We start from the raw sequence: 22,241 nt of genomic DNA on the forward strand, positions 1-22,241 counted from the left end.
TTAACGTGTTAAATATTTAATGTAGACTTAACATTTTTTAGGCAAAATAAAAGGCTCATACTTCAGTAATATAAAATATATGGATGACAAATTATTTAATAAGTTTGTGTCATGCTTTGGTGAATATGATATCAAATTAAGATAATAAGGTGTTTAGGGAAGAGTGTCATGAAAATGGAATAGTACAAGATATGTGACATGATTATAGTATATATTATACAGATTGGAAGAAAATTCTGCCAAAGTGGAAAATTGATCTAGATTTTGAGGTCTTTGATTGTGTTTTTTCATTCATTCAACAAATATTGACCACCTACTATGTGCCAGGCACTGTTCTGGGTGTTACGTTTGGATTTCATTTATTTGGTAGAGAGTAGTGATCTAATTAAAGTTTTTTATTGAGCAGGTGACACCTTTTAATATTTGAGAATGGAATGGGGAGAGATAAAAGGCATTGGAATCAGTTGGAAAGCTATTAAAAGTCATCTTGAAAGTTCTAAAAAAATCTTGGAGAGGACTCTGGCCTAGTTCAGTTCACACTTATTCCTGAGTCAATCACTGTGGCTAGGGGATAGAGTAACCTGGCTAAGCCTGAGCTGCATGTCGACTCATAGAGATAGAGTTAGCCAGCAGGACTACTGTGGATTTTATAGTAGAGGAATTCTTGCAAGAAAGGGTGCTGGCCAGACCAAACATAGGTTCTCTATCTGGATACTATTAGAGTCTATAGAAAGGACATCTAATCCAAACTTGAGCTAGGGCGTGCTTCCTGAAAGAAGTCACATTCAATGTGAAGCCTTAGATTAATAGGGATTAGTGGAGGACAGGTGGTGGATACAAGTATAGCAGGGAGGATAATATTCTAAGTTAAAAAAACATAAACATTATATGGGTAAGCCTGAAAGTATCAGAGCATGGCATATTTAAGTAACTACAAAAAATTCATTGTAACTAAAAGATGGAGTTTAAGGTAGTGGTGGTAGAGGGCAGAGTGAGGAAAGATGAGGGTAGGGAGAGGTAAGCATGGAGAGATGAAGGTGGGGAAAAATGAGGGTGGATCATTTAAGGCCACCTAAGCTACATTTAAGAGTTTGAGGTCATTGAAGAATTTTGACATGAAGATTGTTAAAATTATATTTACACTTTTGAGAGCTGTAAAACTATTGGAATAGTTCAAGGATGAAATAAGGTACCATTTTAAAGGGCTTACAATAGACCAGGTGCATTCTAGGTTCTTTCTATGTATTATCTTACTTAACTAGAAGTCATTATTGCTCTTATTTTATAAATTGGGAAATCAGACCTCCAAAGGATAAAAACCTTCAAAAGGTTACATGACTAAGAGGTAGTAGAGGTGGTCTTCTACATTCTTTAAATTATAACACATTTTCCTCCCTGAAAAGCTATTTTTCCTTTAGTTCATATTTATTAGTTAAATTCAACCTGAAAAAAATGAACTTAATGTGCTAAATACTTGGTATGTAATTCACTACTTTAAAATTTGTATCAGAGGCCACTGCAGATCATTAAGCCTGTTGTTTGTTAATGGAGAAAAACATGAATTTAATTTTTAATGTAAAATAAAATCCTCCATTAAGAATTTAAGACATACTTTATTTTGCCAATATAGAAAATATTAGTGACGATTTAAGGAAAAAAATTAAATGCATGACAAATTTTTAGCATATTTCAGTTTTCCATATTTGGATTTCAACTTACCTGTTAAAACAGTTTCCCAGAAAGAATCCAGGTTGTAAATATTTCCCAGATATTTTGTGTGACATTGAATTTCATTACACTTTTCTTCCCCCAATCTGCTACCTTAGTTCAGACATTTTTTATTTTATATATATTTTATCTATCTGAGCCTTAGTTTCCTCATCTCTCAAATGGAGATAATACCGATCCTTTCTATCTCATTGGATTGTTGCAAAGTTCAGAATTAATAAATGTTTGTGAAAGCTATATTTAGGGGATTATAAACATTTATGTACAAGACAATTTAAAAAATTCGAGATAAACTGGGAAAGCTGATAAAACATTGCAAAGATAAGAATGATGAATGTTGACATATAAGTAACATGAAAATGATTTTTTTAACTGAGAGAAATTATATATATTAATGGTATACAAAGTGATGTTTTGATATATGTATACATTGTGAAATGATTAAATCATGCTAGTTAACATATTCATCACTTCACATACAAAGATAATTTTTTTTTTAAAAAAAGAGATACTGAGGCTGAGTATAGTGGCTCACACCTGTAATCCCAGCACTTTGGGAGGCTGGGGTGAGAGGATCACTTGAACCCAGGAGTTGGAAGTTGCAGTGAGCTATGATTGCATTTGTATTTAGATGATCTTTATTGAAATTTGTGATTTTAGTATAATTTTTATATTAATGGAATTACCATGATTTTGAAGTGACCTTTATCAGTACTTTATGCAATATTTTTATTAGTCTGAAATTGCCTGTTTCAACTGGTATACTGAATAAAATAGCTATAATTTCTCACAATTTTTTAGTGTAACAATTTAAGGAAACAAGTTGAAAATAAAAACAAGTATATTGAAGAACTTCAGCAGGAGGTATGTATTTTTTATAAATATTCTCAAAATCAAACTGATATTTTCACCACAGTTTTAGAGAATAATGCTTTCCCTTCCTTTAGTAATTTAAGTCTAAGTCAGTAGCAAGGTAAGTTTGAATAACTTTAGTACTAAATATAATTATTTTTAATTTTAACAGAATAAGGCCTTGAAAAAAAAAGGTACAGCAGAAAGCAAGCAACTGAATGTTTATGAGATAAAGGTATTTGGCATCTTTATTTTTGTTTTTTAAATACTAATAGATAGATGAGAATTTAGACATTTTATTCCACTTGTTTATACAGTATAAATTCAATTTATACCATAACAGTATCAATTGAAAAGTTGAAAGGTTGTTATCTTTTTAAATAGAGGAGATCAACTCTTTTAGTTGTAATAGAGTACACATCTGTGATTTAGCATGCACATATATTCTTAAGCTTGGATTCAAGCAGCTTAAGAATATATGTGCATGCATGAGCTCTTTGTGTGTGGTCATATTCCCTACTTCCATATTAAAAAGTGAAATTGAGTAAGTGGAATGGATTCTTGGAATCTACATTTTAAAAAGCTCTATGTGTGATTATCCTGCTGCAGAAAGGGATTGAAAACCATTTACTTGTATAAAACAAATTAAAGCCTTACAGTGTAAGCTCCTGATATTAGAGCCATATTTTGTAATCTTATTCCTATGTCTTTGAACAATGACTGACAGTAAGTATTCAATAAATAGTTTTTGAATTATGAATGGAAAACAGCATTTCTCATTGTATTAATTATGTGCTTTTTGGAAGGAAACATAAAAATCTTATACCTTATTTTAATAATATTTGAAATTAAAAATATATAAATGTGATTAAAAATTAAGTAAGGATTTTCATAAATGGTTGATATTCTATATAAAAGTAGCAGATTCATATATCTTATAATTCAGCTCTTCTACTCCTAGGTAGAGTAAGGAGAAAGGTACAAAAATATTCACAGCAACATTCTTTGTATTATCCCCAAACAGAAGACAACAAAAATGTCAACCAATAGTATAAAAATCAGTCAATAAAAAATAACACTGAAATAACCCAGATGTTAGAATTAGCAGATAAAGTCTTTTATGCAGCTATTATAAACATCTTCAAAGACAGAAAGGAAAATATGGTCATAATGAAAGACTAGATGGGGAATGTCAGTGAAGAAATGGAAACTGAAAATAATCAAATGGAAGTTTTAGAACTGAAAAGTAAAATGTCTTTAAAAACCAAAACCAAAACAAAAACCAAATGGTCCTAATAGTAGATTGAATACAAATGAATCAAGTGTCAGTAAACTGGAAGTTGGGTAAGTAGAAATTACCCAGTCAGAAGTACACAGAAGAAGAGTTTTTAAAAGAAAGGAATAGTGCCTCGGTGGCCTGTAGAACAATAACAAGTATTTTTAAGTGTGTAATTGGAGTCCCCAAGTAAGAAGAGAGAGAGAATAGGGCAAATAAAATTTTCGTTTTTGAGACAGAGTCTCACTCTGGCACCAAGGCTGGAGTGTGCAGTGGAGTGATCACAGCTCACCGCAGCCTCGATCTCCTGGACTCAGGTGATCCTCCTACCTCAGCCTCCTGAGTAGCTGAGACTACAGGAGTATGCCATCACATCCAGCTAATTTTTGTATTTTTGGTAGAGATGGGGTTTTGCCATGTTTCCCAGGCTGATCTGGAACTCCTAGGCTCAAGTGATCCACCTGCCTCAGCCTCCCAAATTGCTAGGATTACAGGTGTGAGTGACTGTGCCTGACCTGGGCAGAAAAAATTAATTGAGAAATTTCTCAAAAATTTATCACACTTAAAACAAACTTGCAGATCCATGGCCCTCAGCAAATCCAAAGCAAGATAGGCACAAAACCATATGTAGGCAGTCATATCTTAGTCAAAGTGCTAAAACCAAAGATAAAAAGAAACTTTTAAAGGCAGACAGAAAAAAATGTCACATTGCACAACAGTGACACAGATGATGGCTGACCTTGTATCAGGACAGTGAAGGTCAGATGACAAAGGAATGACATTTATAAAATGCTAACAAAAATAAACCATCAACCCAGAATTCTGTATGCAGCAAAAAGCTTTATTAAATGAAGACAACATGACTTCAAAAGCTGTACCCTAAGCAATACTTAAGGAATTTCTTCAAGTTGAAGGAAAATGGCATTAGATGGAAACTGATCAATGAAAAGCACTGGAAATAGTAAATATTGAGATGAATTTAAAAGGCGATATATTTTTCTTTTAATTTTAAAACGGTATATATGGCTGCTTAAAGGAAAACAAATTGCTATTATAGAGTTTATAATCTGTGTGACTACCATAACACAAAGGACAGGGGAGTAAATATAACTATTTTGTTGTAGCATTTTTACATTACATGTGAAATAGTACAATATTAACACTTAAATAGAGTTTGGTAAGTTAGTGATACATACTATCCTCCTTAGAGCAACCCCTACAAAATAATGCAACTGAAGTATAGCTGTCTTAGTTTAGGTTTCTAAAACAAAATACCACAGACTGGGTGGCATATAAACAATGAACATTTATTTCTTACAGTACTGGAGACTGGGAATTAAAAAATCAAGTCACTGGCAGATTCAGTGTCTGGTGGGACCCTGATTCCTGGTTCATAAACAGCCAACTTTTCATTGTGTCTCAAATGGCAGAAGGGACAAGAGAGCTCTCTGGGATCCTTTTTACAACGTGACACTAATCCCATTAATGAAGGCTCCATCCTTATGACCTAATCACTTCCCACAGGCCCTACCTTCTAATACTATCACACTGGAGGTAGGATTTCAACATATGAATTTTAGGGGAATACAAATATCTAGTCCATAACAATAGCAAAAAAGTCAGTAGAGGAATTGAAATGAAGTGGAATATGAAAAAACTTTGATAAACTCCAAAGGGAGGGCAGAGAAACAAAAAAACAGATATGAATAGAAGACAAATAACATAATGATCTGAACTCAAGCATATCAATAATTATATTAAATGTGAATGGACAAATGTTTTAATAAAAAGGCAGAAATGGTCATGCTAGATTAAAAAAATCAAGGGCAAACCATATACTATTACAAGAGATACATTGTATTTAGTATAAAGACACAAAGAGGTTTAAAGGAAAAAGATGAAGGAAAGAAATACTATCATGCCAATAGTAAGCATAAGAAAGTGGAGTGACAATTTTAATAAGAAATGACAATTTTAATAACAAATATAAGACAAGTAGTATTATTAAAGATCAGTAGGGGCATTTTATAATGATAAAGTTGTCAATTCATTAAAAAGATATAACAATTAATTAGGTATATCTTTGCACCTAATAATAAAGCTTCAAAATAAATGAAGCAAAAACTTGATAAAATGAGCAATAGAAAATACTATACTCATAATATCCCCCTTTCAGCAACTGATAGAACAACTATTAAAACATCTATAAGGATGTAGAAAATCTGAACATCACTATTAACTACCTTGATTTAAATGATATTTATAGAACACTATATCTGCAACTATAAATTGTTGAAATTCACATAGAATGTTTACCAAAATAGACTACATGCTGAGCCATAAACAAGTCTCCATATATTTCAGAAGACTGAAGTCTTACAGAATATGTTCTCTCACTCCAGTAGAATTGAATCAGGAGTAGGTAAGTATAAGATATCTGGAAAAGCCCGGATATTTGAGAATTAAACATCAGACTAATAAATAATTCATGGGCCAAAGAAGAAATCACAAGGAAAATGATAAATTATTTTAAACGGAATGATGAGATAGACATAAAACATAAAAATTTGTAAGGTACAAATAAAGGAGCTCTTAGAGGGAAATTTAGAGTTTTAAATGTTTATTTTAGAAAAGAAGAAGTGATCTAGGTTTTTATCTAGAAACTAAAAAAGTGAGCAAATTAAATTCACAGAAAGTAGACAAAAGGAAATAATTAGAATAAGACATATCAAATAAATAGGAGAAACAATTAAATGAAGTCAAAAGTTGATTATTTGAAAATATCAATAAAGCTGATAAGCCCTAGCAGAACTGACCACAAAAAAAGGGAGAGAAAGTAAAATTCACTGCAGGCAAGAATGAAAGAGTACATAATTAGCATAGATAATACAAGCATTAAAAAGATAAGAAAGGGGGGACTGTGATGGATTACTTCATGCCAGTAAATTTGAAATGTAGATAAAATGGGCAAATTTCTTATGTATCTTTTAGGGAAGTTGAAATTGTCATTAAAATATCTCCTAGAGAAAAATCCAGATCTGGATGATTTCACTGGTAAATTCTGTCAAACACTTTAGGAAGAAATAATACCAGTCTTCCACAAAAAATAGAAGAGTGAAAACAATTCTCAAGTAGGTTTTTGATACCAAATCCTAACAAAGACATTATAATAAAAGAAAATTACAGACCAATATCCATCTGAATAAAAGAAAATTACAGGCCAATATCCCTATGAATATGAGTATAAATATAAAATTATTAATAAAGTATTAGTAAATCTAATCTAGATTTTAATACATGATAAAAACCATATTACATCAAACAATTTATCAGGAATGGGATTTATCAGAAATGTAAGGTTGGTTTAAAATTTGAAGCTATCAGTGTAATTTACTGTACCAAGTAATAAAGGAGAAAAATAATATAATTATCTCAATAGTTGCAGAAAGGCATTTGACAGAATTGAACACTTATTCATGATTAAAAAAAAAACTTCCAGCAAACTAGGAATAGATAAGGACTTCTCCAATCTGATAAAGAACATCTACAAAATACCTACAGTTAGCATCCTATTTACTGATGAAAGGCAGTGTCAAGAGCAATGTCTGCTCTTACCACACCTATTCAACATTGTACTGGAGGCTCTGGCAACAAAAATAAATATATACAAATGAGAAAGGAATACATAAAACTGTCTCTTCATAAATGACATGACTATCTACATGGAAATTTCCAAGGTTTCTACAAAGTCACTACAAGATTAGTAAATGAATTTGACAAAGTCACTGGATACAAGGTCAATGGCCAAAAATCAATTTTATTTCTATATGCTAACAGCTAGTAATTGAAAAATTAATTTTAAAACATGATACCATTTACAGTAGCATAAAAATCCATTAAATAGGGATAAATTTTACAAAATGTGTGCAAGACCCATACAGAGAACAGTACTGAACATTACTGAGACCAATGAAAGAAGACCTAAGTAAATACATATGTACCATATTCACTGATTGGATGTTTTAATGTTTTTAAAATGTCAGATTTCACTGAATTCATCTAGAGATTCAGTCACCATGATAATTCCAGCAGTATTTTTTAGTAGACTTTTACATACTGCTTGTAAAATGCATGTGAACATCAAAATACCCAACAATTTTGAGAAAGTAGAACAAAATTGGAAGATTTAGGTTGCCTGATTTCAAGATTTGCTGTAAAGCTATAATAATTAAGACAATGAGGTATTATTTTTAAGATAGACAAAGAGATCAGTGGAATCTAATAGAAAGTTTAGAAATAGACTAAATGTACAGACTGTTAATTTTCAACAAAGATGCAAAAAAATTCAATGGAGAGAAATGAAAGTCTTTCAACAAATGATTTGGAATAACCAGATATTCATATGGGAAAGAAAAAAAACAAACCTTGACCCTTACATCAGATCATATACAAACATTAATTTTAAATGGGTTATAGGCATACAATCTTGAACTCTGAAGTCTTCAGAAGAAAACGTAGGAGGGTACTTTCATGGCCAAGGTCAGCAAAGATTTCTTAGGGCAAAGAAAGCAATATTCTTAACATGTCAAATAAGTTAGACTACATCAAAACTTGAAAGATCTGTTTATCAAAAGGCATTATTAAGCAAATGAATAGACAAGGTACAAAGAAAAAGAAAACACTGACTAAACATTTATTTGACAGATGACATGTATCCAGAATATATAAATAACTCTTGAAACTCAATAATAAAAAAATAAATATCTCAACTCAAAATAGGCAAAAGACTGTAAAATAAACTGGTTAAAATATTGGCAAAGGGGGAAAACTGGGTTGCAAGATGGCTGAATAGGAACAGCTCCAGTCTACAGCTCCCAGCATGAGTGACGCAGAAGATGGGTGATTTCTGCATTTCCAACTGAGGTACTGGGTTCATCCCACTGGGGCTTGTCGGACAGTGGGTGCAGCCCACAGAGCGTGAGCTGAAGCAGGGTAGGGCATCGCCTCACCTGGGAAGCACAAGGGGTTGGGGAATTCCCTTTCCTAACCAAGAGAAGCCGTGACTGATGGTACCAGGAAAATTGGGACACTCCCACCCTAATACTGCACTTTTCCAATGGTCTTAGCAAACAACACACCAGGAGATTATATCCCTTGCCTGGCTGGGAGGGTCCCACGCCCAAGGAGCCTCGCTCACTGCTAGTGCAGCAGTCTGAGATCGAACTGCAAGGAGGCAGTGAGACTGGGGGAGGGGCATCTGCCATTGTTGAGGCTTGAGTGGGTAAACAAAGAAAAGCTCGAACTGGGTGGAACCCACTACAGCTCAAGGAGGCCTGCCTGCCTCTGTAGACTCCACCTCTGGGGGCAGGGCGTAGCTGAACACAAGGCAGCAGAAACTTCGGCAGACTTAATCCTCCCTGTCTGACAGCTTTGAAGAGAGTAGTGGTCCTCCCAGCATGGAGTTTGAGATCTGAGAACAGACAGACTGCCTCCTCAAGTGGGTCCCTGACCCCTGAGTAGCCTAACTGGGAGGCACCTCCCAGTAGGGGCAGACTGACACCTCACATGGCTGGGTACCCCTCTGAGATGAAGCTTCCAGAGGAACGATCAGGCAGCAACATTTGCTGTTCAGCAATATTCACTATTCTGCAGCCTCCGCTGGTGATACCCAGGCAAACAGGGTCTGAAATGGACCTCCAGCAAACTCCAACAGACCTGCAGCTGAGAGTCCTGACTGTTAGAAGAAAAGCTAACAAACAGAAACAACATCCACACCAAAACCCTATCTGTACGTCACCTTCCTCAAAGACCAAAGGTAGATAAAACCACAAAGATGGGGAGAAACCAGAGCAGAAAAGCTGAAAATTGTAAAAATCAGAGTGCCTCTTCTCCTCCAAAGGAATGCAGCTCCTCGCCAGCAATGGAACAAAGCTGGATGGAGAATGATTTTGATGAGTTGAGAGAAGAAGGCTTCAGATGATCAGTAATAACAAACTTCTCCGAGCTAAAGGAGGATGTTCGAACCCATTGCAAAGAAGCTAAAAACCTTGAGAAAAGATTAGACAGACGGCTAACTAGAATAAACAGCATAGAGAAGACCTTAAATGACCGGATGGAGCTGAAAACCATGGCATGAGAACTATGTGATGCATGCATGCACAAGCTTCAGTAGCTGATTCGATCAAGTGGAAGAAAGGGTATCAGTGATTGAAGATCAAATGAATGAAATGAAGCGAGAAGAGAAGTTTAGAGAAAAAAGAGTAAAAAGAAATGAATAAATCCTCCAAGAAATATGGGACTATGTGAAAAGAAGACCAAATCTACGTCTGATTGGTGTACCTGAAAGTGATGGGGAGAATGGAACAAAGTTGGAAAACACTCTGCAGGATATTATCCAGGAGAACTTCCCCAACCTAGCAAGGCAGGCCAACATTCAAATTCAGGAAATACAGAGAACACCACAAAGATACTCCTCGAGAAGAGCAACTCCAAGATACATAATTGTCAGATTCACCAAAGTTGAAATGAAGGAAAAAATGTTAAGGGCAGCCAGAGAGAAAGGTCAGGTTACCTACAAAGGGAAGGCCATCAGACTAACAGCGGATCTCTGGAGAAACTCTACAAGCCAGAAGAGAGTGGGGGCCAATATTCAACATTCTTAAAGAAAAGAATTTTCAACCCAGAATTTCATATCCAGCCAAACTAAACTTCATAAGTGAAGGAGAAATAAAATCCTTTACAGACAAGCAAATGCTGAGAGATTTTGTCACCACCAGGCCTGCCTTACAAGAGCTCATGAAGGAAGCACTAAACATGGAAAAGAACAACCGGTACCAGCCACTGCAAAAACATGCCAAATTATAAAGACCATCGATGCTAGGAAGAAACTGCATCAAATAACGAGCAAAATAACCAGCTAACATCATAATGACAGGATCAAATTCACACATAACAATATTAACCTTAAATGTAAATGGGCTAAATACTCCAATTAAAAGATACAGACTGGCAAATTGGATAAAGAGTCAAGACCCATCAGTGTGCTGTATTCAGGAGACCCATCTCATGTGCAGAGACACACAGGATCAGAATAAAGGGGTGGAGAAAGATCTACCAAGCAAATGGAAAACAAAAAAAAGCAGGGGTTGCCATCCCAGTCTCTGATAAAACAGACTTTAAACCAACAAAGATCAAAAGAGACAAAGAAGACCATAGCATAATGATAAAGGATCAATTCAACAAGAAGAGCTAACCATCCTAAATATATATGTACCCAATACAGGAGCACCCAGATTCATAAAGCAAGTCCTTAGAGACCTAGAAAGGTACTTAGACTCCCACACAATAATAATGGGAGACTTTAACACCCAACTGTCAACATTAGACAGATCAATGAGACAGAAAGTTAACAAGGATATCCAGGAATTGAACTCAGCTCTGCACCAAGCCGACCTAATAGACATCTACAGAACTCTCCACCCCAAATCAACAGAATGTACATTATTTTCAGCACCACACAACACCTATTCCAAAATTGACCACATAGTTGGAAGTAAAGCACTCCTCAGCAAATGTAAAAGAACAGAAATTGTAACAAATTGTCTCTCAGACCACAGTGCAATCAAACTAGAACTCAGGATTAAGAAACTCACTCAAAACCACTCAACTACATGGAAACTGAACAACCTGCTCCTGAATGACTACTGGTACATAACGAAATGAAGGCAGAAATAAATATGTTCTTTGAAACCAATGAGAAGAAAGACACAACATACCAGAATCTCTGGGACACATTTAAAGCAGTGTGTAGAGGGAAATTTGTATCACTAAATGCCCACAAAAGAAAGCAGGAAAGATCTAAAATTGACACCCTAACATCACAATTAAAAGAACTAGAGAAGCAAGAGCAAACACATTCAAAAGCTAGCAGAAGGCAAGAAATAACTAAGATCAGAGCAGAACTGAAGATGAGACACAAGAAACCCTTCCAAAAAATCAATGAATCCAGGAGCTGGTTTTTTGAAAAGATCAACAAAATTGACAGACTGCTAGCAAGACTAATACAGAAGAAAAGAGAAAAGAATCAAATAGATGCAATAAAAAATGATAAAGGGGATATCACCAGTGATCCCACAGAAATACAAACTACCATCAGAGAATACTATAAACACCTCTATGCAAATAAAGTAGAAAATCTAGAAGAAATGGACAAATTCCTGGATACATACACCCTCCTAAGACTAAACCAGGAAGAAGTTGAATCACTGAGTAGACCAAAAAGGTTCTGAAATTGAGGCAATAATTAGTAGCCTACCAACCAAAATAAGTCCAGGACCAGACGGAGTCACAGCCGAATTCTACCAGAGGTACAAACAGAAGCTGGTACCATTCCTTCTGAAACTATTCCAATCGATAGAAAAAGAGGGAATCCTCCCTAACTCATTTTATGAGGCCAGCATCATCCTGATACCAAAGGCTGGCCGAGACACAACAAAAAAAGAGAATTTTAGACCAATATCCCTGATGAACATTGACGCAAAAATCCTCAATAAAATACTGGCAAACCAAATCCAGCAGCACATCACAAAGCTTATCCACCACAATCAAGTTGGCTTCATCCCTGGGATGCAAGGCTGATTCAACATACGCAAATCAATAAACGTAATCCATCACATAAACAGAACCAAAGACAAAAATCGCATGATTATCTCAATAGATGCAGAAAAGGCCTTTGGCAAAATTCAACACCCCTTCATGCTAAAAACACTCAATAAACTAGGTATTGATGGAACATATCTCAAAATAATAAGAGCTATTTATGACAAACCCACAGCCAATACCATACTGAGTGGGCAAAAACTGGAAGCATTCCCTTTGAAAACAGGCACAAGACAGGGATGCCCTCTCTCACCACTCCCATTCAACATAGTGTTGGAAGTTCTGGCCAGGGCAATCAGGCAGGAGAAAGAAATAAAGGCTATTCAATTAGGAAAAGAGGAAGTCTAATTGTCCCTGTTTGCAGATGACATGATTGTATATTTAGAAAACCCCATTGTCTCAGCCCCAAATCTCCTTAAGCTGATAAGCAACTTCCCCAAAGTCTCAGAATACAAAATCAATGTGCAAAAATCACAAGCATTCCTATACACCAATAACGGAGAGCCAAATCATGAGTGAACTCCCATTCACAATTGCTTCAAAGAGAATAAAATACCTAGGAATCCAACTTACAAGGGATGCGAAGGACCTCTTCAAGGAGAACTACAAACCACTGCTCAACAAAATAAAAGAGGACACAGCAAATGGAAGAACATTCCATGCTCATGGATAGGAAGAATCAAGATCATGAAAATGGCCATACTGCCCAAGGTAATTTATAGGTTCAATGCCATCCCCATCAAGCTACCAATCACTTTCTTCACAGAATTGGAAAAAACTCCTTTAAAGTTCATATGGAACCAAAAAAGAGCCCGCATTGCCAAGACAATTCTAAGCGAAAAGAACAAAGCTGGAGGCATCATGCTACCTGACTTCAAACTATACTACAAGGCTACAGTAACCAAAACAGCATGGTACTTGTACCAAAACAGAGATATAGACCAATGGAACAGAACAGAGCCCTCAGAAATAATACCACACATCTACAACCATCTGATCTTTGACAAACCTGACAAAAACAAGAAATGGGGAAAGGATTCCCTATTTAATAAATGGTGCTTGGAAAACTGGCTAGCCATATGTAGAAAGCTGAAACTGGATCCCTTCCTTATACCTTATACAAAAATTAATTCAAGATGGATTAAAGACTTAAATGTTAGACCTAAAATCATAAAAACCCTAGAAGAAAACCTAGGCGATACCATTCAGGACATAGGCATGGGCAAGGACTTCATGACTAAAACACCAAAAGCAATGGCAACAAAAGCCAAAATTGACAAATGGGATCTAATTAAACTAAAGAGCTTCTGCACAGCAAAAGAAACTACCATCAGAGTGAACAGGCAACCTACAGAATGGGAGAAAATTTTTACAATCTACCCATCTGACAAATGGCTAATATCCAGAATCTACAAAGAACTTAAACAAATTTACAAGAAAAAAATCAAACCACCCCATCAAAAAGTGGGTGAAGGATATGAACAGACACTTCTCAAAAGAAGACATTTATGCAGCCAACAGACACATGAAAAGATGCTCATCATCACTGGCCATCAGAGAAATGCAAATCAAAACCACAATGAGATACCATCTCATGCCAGTTAGAGTGGCAGTCATTAAAAAGTCAGGAAACAACAGGTGCTGGAGAGGATGTGGAGAAATAGGAACACTTTTACACTGTTGGTGGGACTGTAAAGTAGTTCAACCATTGTGGAAGACAGTGTGGTGATTCCTCAGGGACCTAGAACTAGAAATACCATTTGACCCAGAGATCCCATTACTGGTTATATACCCAAAGGATTATAAATCATGCTGCTATAAAGGCACATGCACATGTATGTTTATTGCAGCACTATTCACAATAGCAAAGACTTGGAACCAACCCAAATGTCCATCAATGATAGACTGGATTAAGAAAATGTGGCACATATACACCATGGAATACTATGCAGCCATAAAAAAGGACGAGTTCATGTCCTTTGTAGGGACATGGATGAAGCTGGAAACCATCATTCTGAGCAAACTATTGCCAGGACAGAAAAACCAAACACCTCATGTTCTCACTCATAGGTGTGAATTGAACAATGAGAACACTTGGACACAGGGTGGGGAACATCACACACCAGGGCCTGTTGTGGGATGGGGGGAGGGGGGAGGGATAGCATTAGGAGATATACCTAATGTAAATGACGAGTTAACAGGTACAGCACACCAACATGGCACATGTATATGTATGTAACGAACCTGCACATTGTGCACATGTACCCTAGAACTTAAAGTATAATTAAAAAAATAAATAAATCAAAAATAAATAAGTAAATACATAAATAAATTTGATAAAGGAAAAAAAAGAATGAGTGGAAACTATACCCTCCTCTTCAATATTCTGGAACCATTTGTTTAGAACTGGTATTATTTTTTCCTCAATAGCTTTGTAGGATTCATCCATAAATTCATCTTGGCCTGGAAAAAAAAATAAAGTATGGGCAAAGGACTTGAATAGATATTTCTCCAAATATACACAAATGGCCAATAAGCACATAAAAATGAAAATATGCTTAATATCAGTAATCATTGCAAATCAAAATCTCATGAGATATTACCTCATACCCATTAGAATGGGTACTAATGAAAGAACAGAAAATAACATGTTAATGAGGTTGTGGAGAAATTGGAATTCTCGAGCACTGTTGATGGGAATGTCAGATGGTACAGTCACTGTGGAGAACAATTTTGTGGTTCCCCAAAAAAATAAAACTAAAATAACTATATGATCCACTAATTTCACTTCTAGATATATACCTAAAAGAATTGAAAGCATAGTCTCAAAGAGATATATGTTCACCTATGTTCATAGCAACATTATTCACAATAGCCAAAAGTTGGAAGCAACCCATGTGTCCATTGACAGATGAATGGGTAGACTAAATGTGGCCTCTACATACAGTATTCCATACAGTATGGAAAATGTTTTGGTGGTTTCTTCTAAAACTAAACATGCATCTACTGTGTGATCCAACAATTATTTTCCTAGATATTTACTTAAAATAAATGGAAACATGTCCACTAAAAATCTTGTACAAGAATATTCATGGTGGCTTTATCCACAATGATAAAAAATGGAAACACATAAAATGTTCATTAAGAAGAGACTGGATAAACAAATTTGGTATATTCATATAATGGAATACTACTCAGAAGTAAAAAAGACCTACTGATAGTCACAGGAACATGGATGAATCTTGTAATATGCTGAATGAATAACCTATATACAAGAGAGTATGTTTGTCATGATTTCATTTAAATGAAGTTTTTGAATCAACAAAACCAATTTATGGAGACAGAAAGAACAATGGTTGCCTCAGTGGGGTACTATTAGTTTGTTAAGGGATATGAGGGAACTTTCTGGGATTATGGAAATTATGTCTTGGTTGGTATTGCCATTACATGGTTTTAAAAACAATTTGTCAAAGCTTATTAAACTTTACACTTAAAACCATGCGTTTTATTATATGTAAATTATGTCTCATTGAAGTTGAACTCATCGACGAAAGCTACTGGGCCTAGAGTTCTGTTTATGCAAAGGCTTTTAATTTCTGAAGCAATTTAATCATAGTTACAGTATAACTTGGTTGTCCTATTTCTTCAAGTTTGATAAATAATATTTTTCTGGGTTTCATCCAGTTCATCTACATTTTCTACAGTTTCAGAATTGTCTGTAGCATTTACTGTTAAAAACAGTAATAGCCTGTTTTTAATCTGATGTTGGTTATTTGTTCCTTCTTTTGTTTTTTTCTTTATCAGTGTCACCAGGAGTTTGTCAATTTGGGAAGTCTTTTTCCTTTGTTTTTTGAGATGGAGTCTGCCTCTGTCACCCACGCTGGAGTGCAGTGGCTGTGATCTCGGCTCACTGCAACCTCTACCTCCTGGGTTCAAGCAACTCTCATGCCTCAGCTTCCTGAGTAGTTGGGATTACAGGCGTGTGCCTCCATGCCGGCTAATTTTTGTATTTTTAGTAGAGAAGGGGTTTCATTATGTTGGCCAGACTGGTCTCAAACTCTTGGCCTCAAGTGATCTGCCCACGTCAGTCTCCCAAAGTGCTGAGGTTACAGGTGTGAGCCACTGTGCCCAGACCTATCTTAAGATGAGTTCTTAGATCATTAATTTTCAGTCTTTCTAATGTACACATTTCAATGCTGTAAATTTCCCACTAAGTATTGCTGTATCTGTGTCCTATAGGTTTTGATATATAGTAAATTAGTATTGTTTAGCCCAATGCCCTCCTGTATCTCTTAATTTCTAAATTTAAGGGGACATGTTGTGTTTTTGTTACTGATTTCTAGCATAACTGAATTGTTACTAGAGAGCACACTCTGGTATGACTTTAGTACTTTGAAATTTATTGATATTTGCCTGATGGCCCAATATATGGGGTCACTTTTTGTAAACATCCCTTACATACATGAAAATAATGTATATTGTATAGTTGTTGGGTGTTTCCTTTATGTAAAGATTACCAGTTATATTCTTTATATTTGTGTATCTTTTTTTCATTCTGTACCTCTGCTTTTTTTTATTTGTGTTTTATTAAGTAGTTGACTGAGATAGATGTGTTTAAAAACTTTACACAATGATTGTGGATTTCTGTTTTCTAATTTCAGTTCTGTTAACTTGTCTTTATTTCAAGGCCATATTATTGGGTGTACATTATTTTGAATATGTGCAACTTTTTATTACATACGATAGAACTTTATGTGTATAGTTGTTCCCTTGGTTTATACATGGGGGATTGGTTCCAGAACCCCCCAGGAATACCAAAATCTGCGCATACTCATATCCCCTAGTCAGCCCTGTGGAACCCATGCAAACTAGAAGTTGGCCCTCCATATATGTGAGTTTCATATCCTGTGGATACTGTATTGTCCATTTAAATTTGGTTGAAAAAAAATCCACATATAAATGGATGCAGTTCAAACCCATGTTGTTCAAAGTTCAACTGTATACTTAATATGTATTTTACATGTTTATATATAATGGAAATTGTTGTTAAAACAAGATACCTCCTTTATCTCTAGTAGAGATAAACTTGCCTTAGAGCAAGTTTTTATGTTATTATTATAACTATACCATTTTTTATTCTGTTTCATGTTTGCTTGTTATATCTTTTAAATCTGTTTACTCTTATCCTCTATCTTTATGTTTTAAATGACTCTTATAAATAGCATGTAGCCAGAGTTTATAATTTTATGCACTCTGACAATCTTTGTCTCTTTTACTGGTATATTTGGCCTTAGACTACATTATCTCCTTTATCTCTTATGTCTTACTTATATGTTAGTATACTATTATTGTTGTCATGTACTTTGATGATTTTTTTTCCTAAGGGTTTTGTATTGTCCAAGAAGAAAGAAAAAATAGAGTGAACTGGGGGTAAGCAGTAATTACAGGGTATTTCTAATCTGAAAATCCAAAATCTAAAATGCTCCCAAGTCCAAAACTTTATAGCACAGACATAATGCCACAAGTGGAGAAGTCCATGCACAAGTACTTAACACATACTTTTTCATGAACAAAATTATTAAAATATTGTATTAAATTACCTTCAGGCTATGTGTAAGGTATATACAAAATATAAATGAGTTTTGTGTTTAGACATAGGTCCTATCCTTAGGATATCTCATTAGATAAATCTGAAATATTTTTGGTCCCAAGCATTTTGGAAAAGGAATACTCAACCTCTACTGAGAATATTTAGAATTGATGAAAGACCTGAATTCACAGATATAGAAAGAGAAATTTATACCAAGCAAGAAAAATTAAAAGAAATCCACATTTAGACTTGGTATAACTAAAGAATATTGGACACATAAAAGTATTAAAAGTATCTGGAGAGAAATGAAAGATGAAAGTGAAGAAATGACATATTGGCCATGAACATCTCAACAAACAACAATAGAAGTCAGAAAACAGTGAGAAAGTATTTTCATGGGCTAAGAAGATTACTGTCAACATTAAATTTTGTCCGCAACATACCTATCTTTTAAGAATGTTGGAGAAATAAGGATAATTTTATATTAAAAAGTGAGGAAAACATGCTTTTCAAGAACACTCGGACATTTAACAAAAATGATCATATAGGCCAAGAATAACTAAAGCAATCTTTAAGAACAAAGTAGGAAAATGTGCCCTACCAGATATAAAGATTAATTGTATAGCTAAGGTAATTAAGACAGTATGACACTGGCACAGAAGTTGTCAAGTCAATTGAATAAAAGAGAAGCCTAGAAAAAGATACAGGGGTACATGGTAACTAGACACAATACAGAAGTGATATTGCAGATATGTAGTGCTAGAACATTTGACTATCTATATGGAAAAATATGAAAGTCTACCTCTACACTACATACAAACACAAATTCCTTAAGGATATAAATAAATGTGAAGGGCAGGGCTTCAAAACATTTGAAGAAGATGTGGGACAATATCTTTGTGACCTGGTAGTAAAGAAAGATTTCCTAAATAAGATTAAAAAACACAACCATATTTGAAAATATTGATACATTCATATATACTAAAATAATTTCTGGTTACTTGGAAAGTAAAGTAACAAACCTCAAAATTGGAGAAATATCCCAACTTTACATATATAAAGAACAAAGGATTAGAACCCATTAAATGTAATTAAGAAGAAAATGAAGCACCAAGTACATAAATGAGTAAAATATATGAACAGAGATGGTCACAGAACAGAAAATATGAAGAGTTAAACATGTTACATAATTTTCTGGAAAGTGCAAATTATACAACAAAACTTCAGTCAAATACTTTTGTCTGACACTATCAACTCTTGGTGAAGTTGTGAAGCAGGAAAAGTCATAACCTTGTTGCTGAGAATTTAAATTGGTATAAATGCATATGGAAAATAATGTCATCTTTAAAGTTGAATATGTAACCTGCCCTATGACCCGGCAATTCCAATCCTAGGTATATACTATAGAGAAATTCTACATTTGCACCAGGAGGTGTTTACAAGAACATTCATAGCACTATTGTGTGTGTACCAGTCCCAAAATGGAGACAACTCAGTGCCCTGAACAATTGATTACATAAACAGTGTTATATTCATACAATAGAACACTACTCAGCAGTGAAAATGAAAGAACTGTATTTTTACACATAAATACCTCAAACATAACTGTTCAATGAGAAAAGCAAGCCAGAAAAATAATGTACTATGAAAACATTTATATGAAGTTCAAAAAAAATCTTGAAATATTGTTTAGGGACACATAATTATGCAATGAATCTATAAAGAAGAGTAAGGGAATATAAATTAAGAATGTTTTTTATGCTCGAAAGGGCAGTAGGGGAAAACTAATGAAGAGGGAGGGGCATTTAATAGCTTTTATCAATATTGGTAATGGTCTATATTTTAAAGTCGATGATTGACTCATGGATACAAAATACAGTCTGATTCATCATTATATTACCCATAACCCTCTTCCCAATTCCTGTCCCTGCCGTATAACACCTTGCCAGTATTAATTTAGCCCTAAGATAAAAGTGAATATGAAGGGTGCTAATTCAGGGCTTTCCTTCCCTCTTAATAATTTCTATATTTGAATTATATCTACACAACTCAGTAAATATTTATACAAAGTATGTGAAAATAATATAAATGGAAGTTGTTGCTTCTTTATAGAAAATTAATCTCATTAAGAATATGCCTTTGAATCACATGAGTTTTCTGTACAATGGAAATACTTATTCTAATAAAGCGTATTAAACTGAGTGAGAGTAACCAATGTAAATATTGTTGAGAAATTCATTAAAAATAAATGCATGGGTGTTTATTTTATATTACTTGTCAAGAAAAAATACATATTTTAGGGGAGAAGATAGATTTTTTGAAAACAAAACACTTCTCACCATATGAAAATGTAAGGAAAGTGATCCAACCTAATTTCCATGAATAAGTAATCTTCTAAGATTCACAAAACCACAAAATGAATATGGAATGTTTTCAAGTAATCCATAGCATTTACTAATATTCATGCTATTTTTCTTTACTTAAAGGTCAATAAATTAGAGTTAGAACTAGAAAGTGCCAAACAGAAATTTGGAGAAATCACAGACACCTATCAGAAAGAAATTGAGGACAAAAAGATATCAGAAGAAAATCTTTTGGAAGAGGTGGGAAAAACTTAATGTATTAAGAACTTATTATACTAAAAATCTATATTTTTATTAGGATTTTAAGAGGAAAGTAAAAAAATCTTAACTATTAAATTACAATTTTAGAAAAGGGTTAGTAAATTTATATAAGGGTCAGTTTATCAGTTTTTATAGAAACTAAAAGTATCCTTGCTATTCTAAGTATTTGAGTATATAATTATTTTGAAAGGATTAAATGATTGCCACAGTGGTATAGTGTCATCTTACTTCATAAAACACCCCGAAAAAACCCCAAACAGTGCATTTTCTACTTGTTTTTCCAGTTTCCTGGTGTTTGAGGTTTGCTTTTATTTAAGTAGAACATATACTTTTTACACTTGTTTGTTTTTTGTGCATTTATTTTAAGAAACTTTTTTTTTTTGCTTATTTGATAGGTTGAGAAAGCAAAAGTAATAGCTGATGAAGCAGTAAAATTACAGAAAGAAATTGATAAGCGATGTCAACATAAAATAGCTGAAATGGTAGCACTTATGGAAAAACATAAGGTAATTTTTTTCTTCTTATATAATGAAAATTATTAATTGGAGCCATATTTCTGTTAAATAATGGTGAAATCAAGATAGTATTCTTATTTGTCAGAGAAGATTATTGTCTATGCAACAGTGACTGTCTATAGCTAGAATACCCTTGATGCCCATTTCTTCAAGTTCAGATCTTAACCATACAAAGTTGAGCCTGTGTGTCACATCCTTGAGGAAATCTCTCTTTGTTATCTGTGATGAATGGAAGTAATCACTCTTTTTCTGGATTCTGCTAATAGTCTCTTATAGCACTTTCTACCTTATATATTTTTAAGTACATAACCAGGATAAGTATCTCATTGATATCTAACATATAATAGGCTAAATCAATTTTTATCAAAGGAATAAATAGATGAAATACTTAGTGTTTGATGTGTTTTTGTCTTATATTTTTAATTGTTGTTTTAGAGTATCCATTTGTTAAGGAATTAAGCCTCATTCCCCTTAAGATTTGGAGAAGAGGTAGGGTATACCTACCTATTCAATTAAAAAAAAAAGCTGCTGGAATACGAGATTATTATGAGGGAAGTGGTGAGGATTTAAAAAATAATTTAAATAACATTGTGAACTCATAGATTTGAACACATTTGGTATGTTTCAATCCAGTGCAGCATCTGTCCTTATTGATAACTCACATTTTCCCACCTTTGGCTAGCAGGAGCCTCTTTAAGCTGTGTGGCAAGTCCTTTTGACTTAACTGTAATTTTCTCTGATAACTTTCTTTGAGTTATGACAAAATGTTTAAGGCTTCTTTTTTTGATGTAATAATTTTTTTATTATACTTTAAGTTCTAGGGTACATGTGCACAACATGCAGGTTTGTCACATATGTATACATGTGCCATGTTGGTGTGCTGCACCCATTAACTCATCATTTACATTAGGTATATCTCCTAATGCTAGTTTAAGGCTTGTATTTCCTGTCCCAGATTTGAAATCAGTCAGTTTTGTAGAAGCCCTGGTGTTTCTGGC

The 22,241-nt window shown here is 34.3% G+C and overlaps 1 protein-coding gene across 11 annotated transcripts in view; it reads left to right on the forward strand.

Annotated features, from left to right (window-relative positions):
* Positions 1–22,241, forward strand: part of SYCP1 (synaptonemal complex protein 1) — a 141,283-nt gene that overhangs the window by 69,661 nt on the left and 49,381 nt on the right. For all 11 annotated transcript variants that reach the window (NR_104211.2, XM_017002184.2, NM_001282541.2 and 8 more), the window contains 4 exons: positions 2,530–2,592; positions 2,753–2,815; positions 20,591–20,707; positions 21,124–21,234. Coding sequence is in view for 10 of the 11 variants with exons in the window: in XM_017002184.2 (XP_016857673.1) it covers positions 2,530–2,592; positions 2,753–2,815; positions 20,591–20,707; positions 21,124–21,234 (354 nt within the window). In the remaining variant the exon portion in view is untranslated. The remainder of the gene's footprint in view (positions 1–2,529; positions 2,593–2,752; positions 2,816–20,590; positions 20,708–21,123; positions 21,235–22,241) is intronic.

Source organism: Homo sapiens, chromosome 1 (assembly GCF_000001405.40).
Source record: "Homo sapiens chromosome 1, GRCh38.p14 Primary Assembly".
NCBI classification, from domain to species: Eukaryota; Metazoa; Chordata; class Mammalia; order Primates; family Hominidae; genus Homo; species Homo sapiens.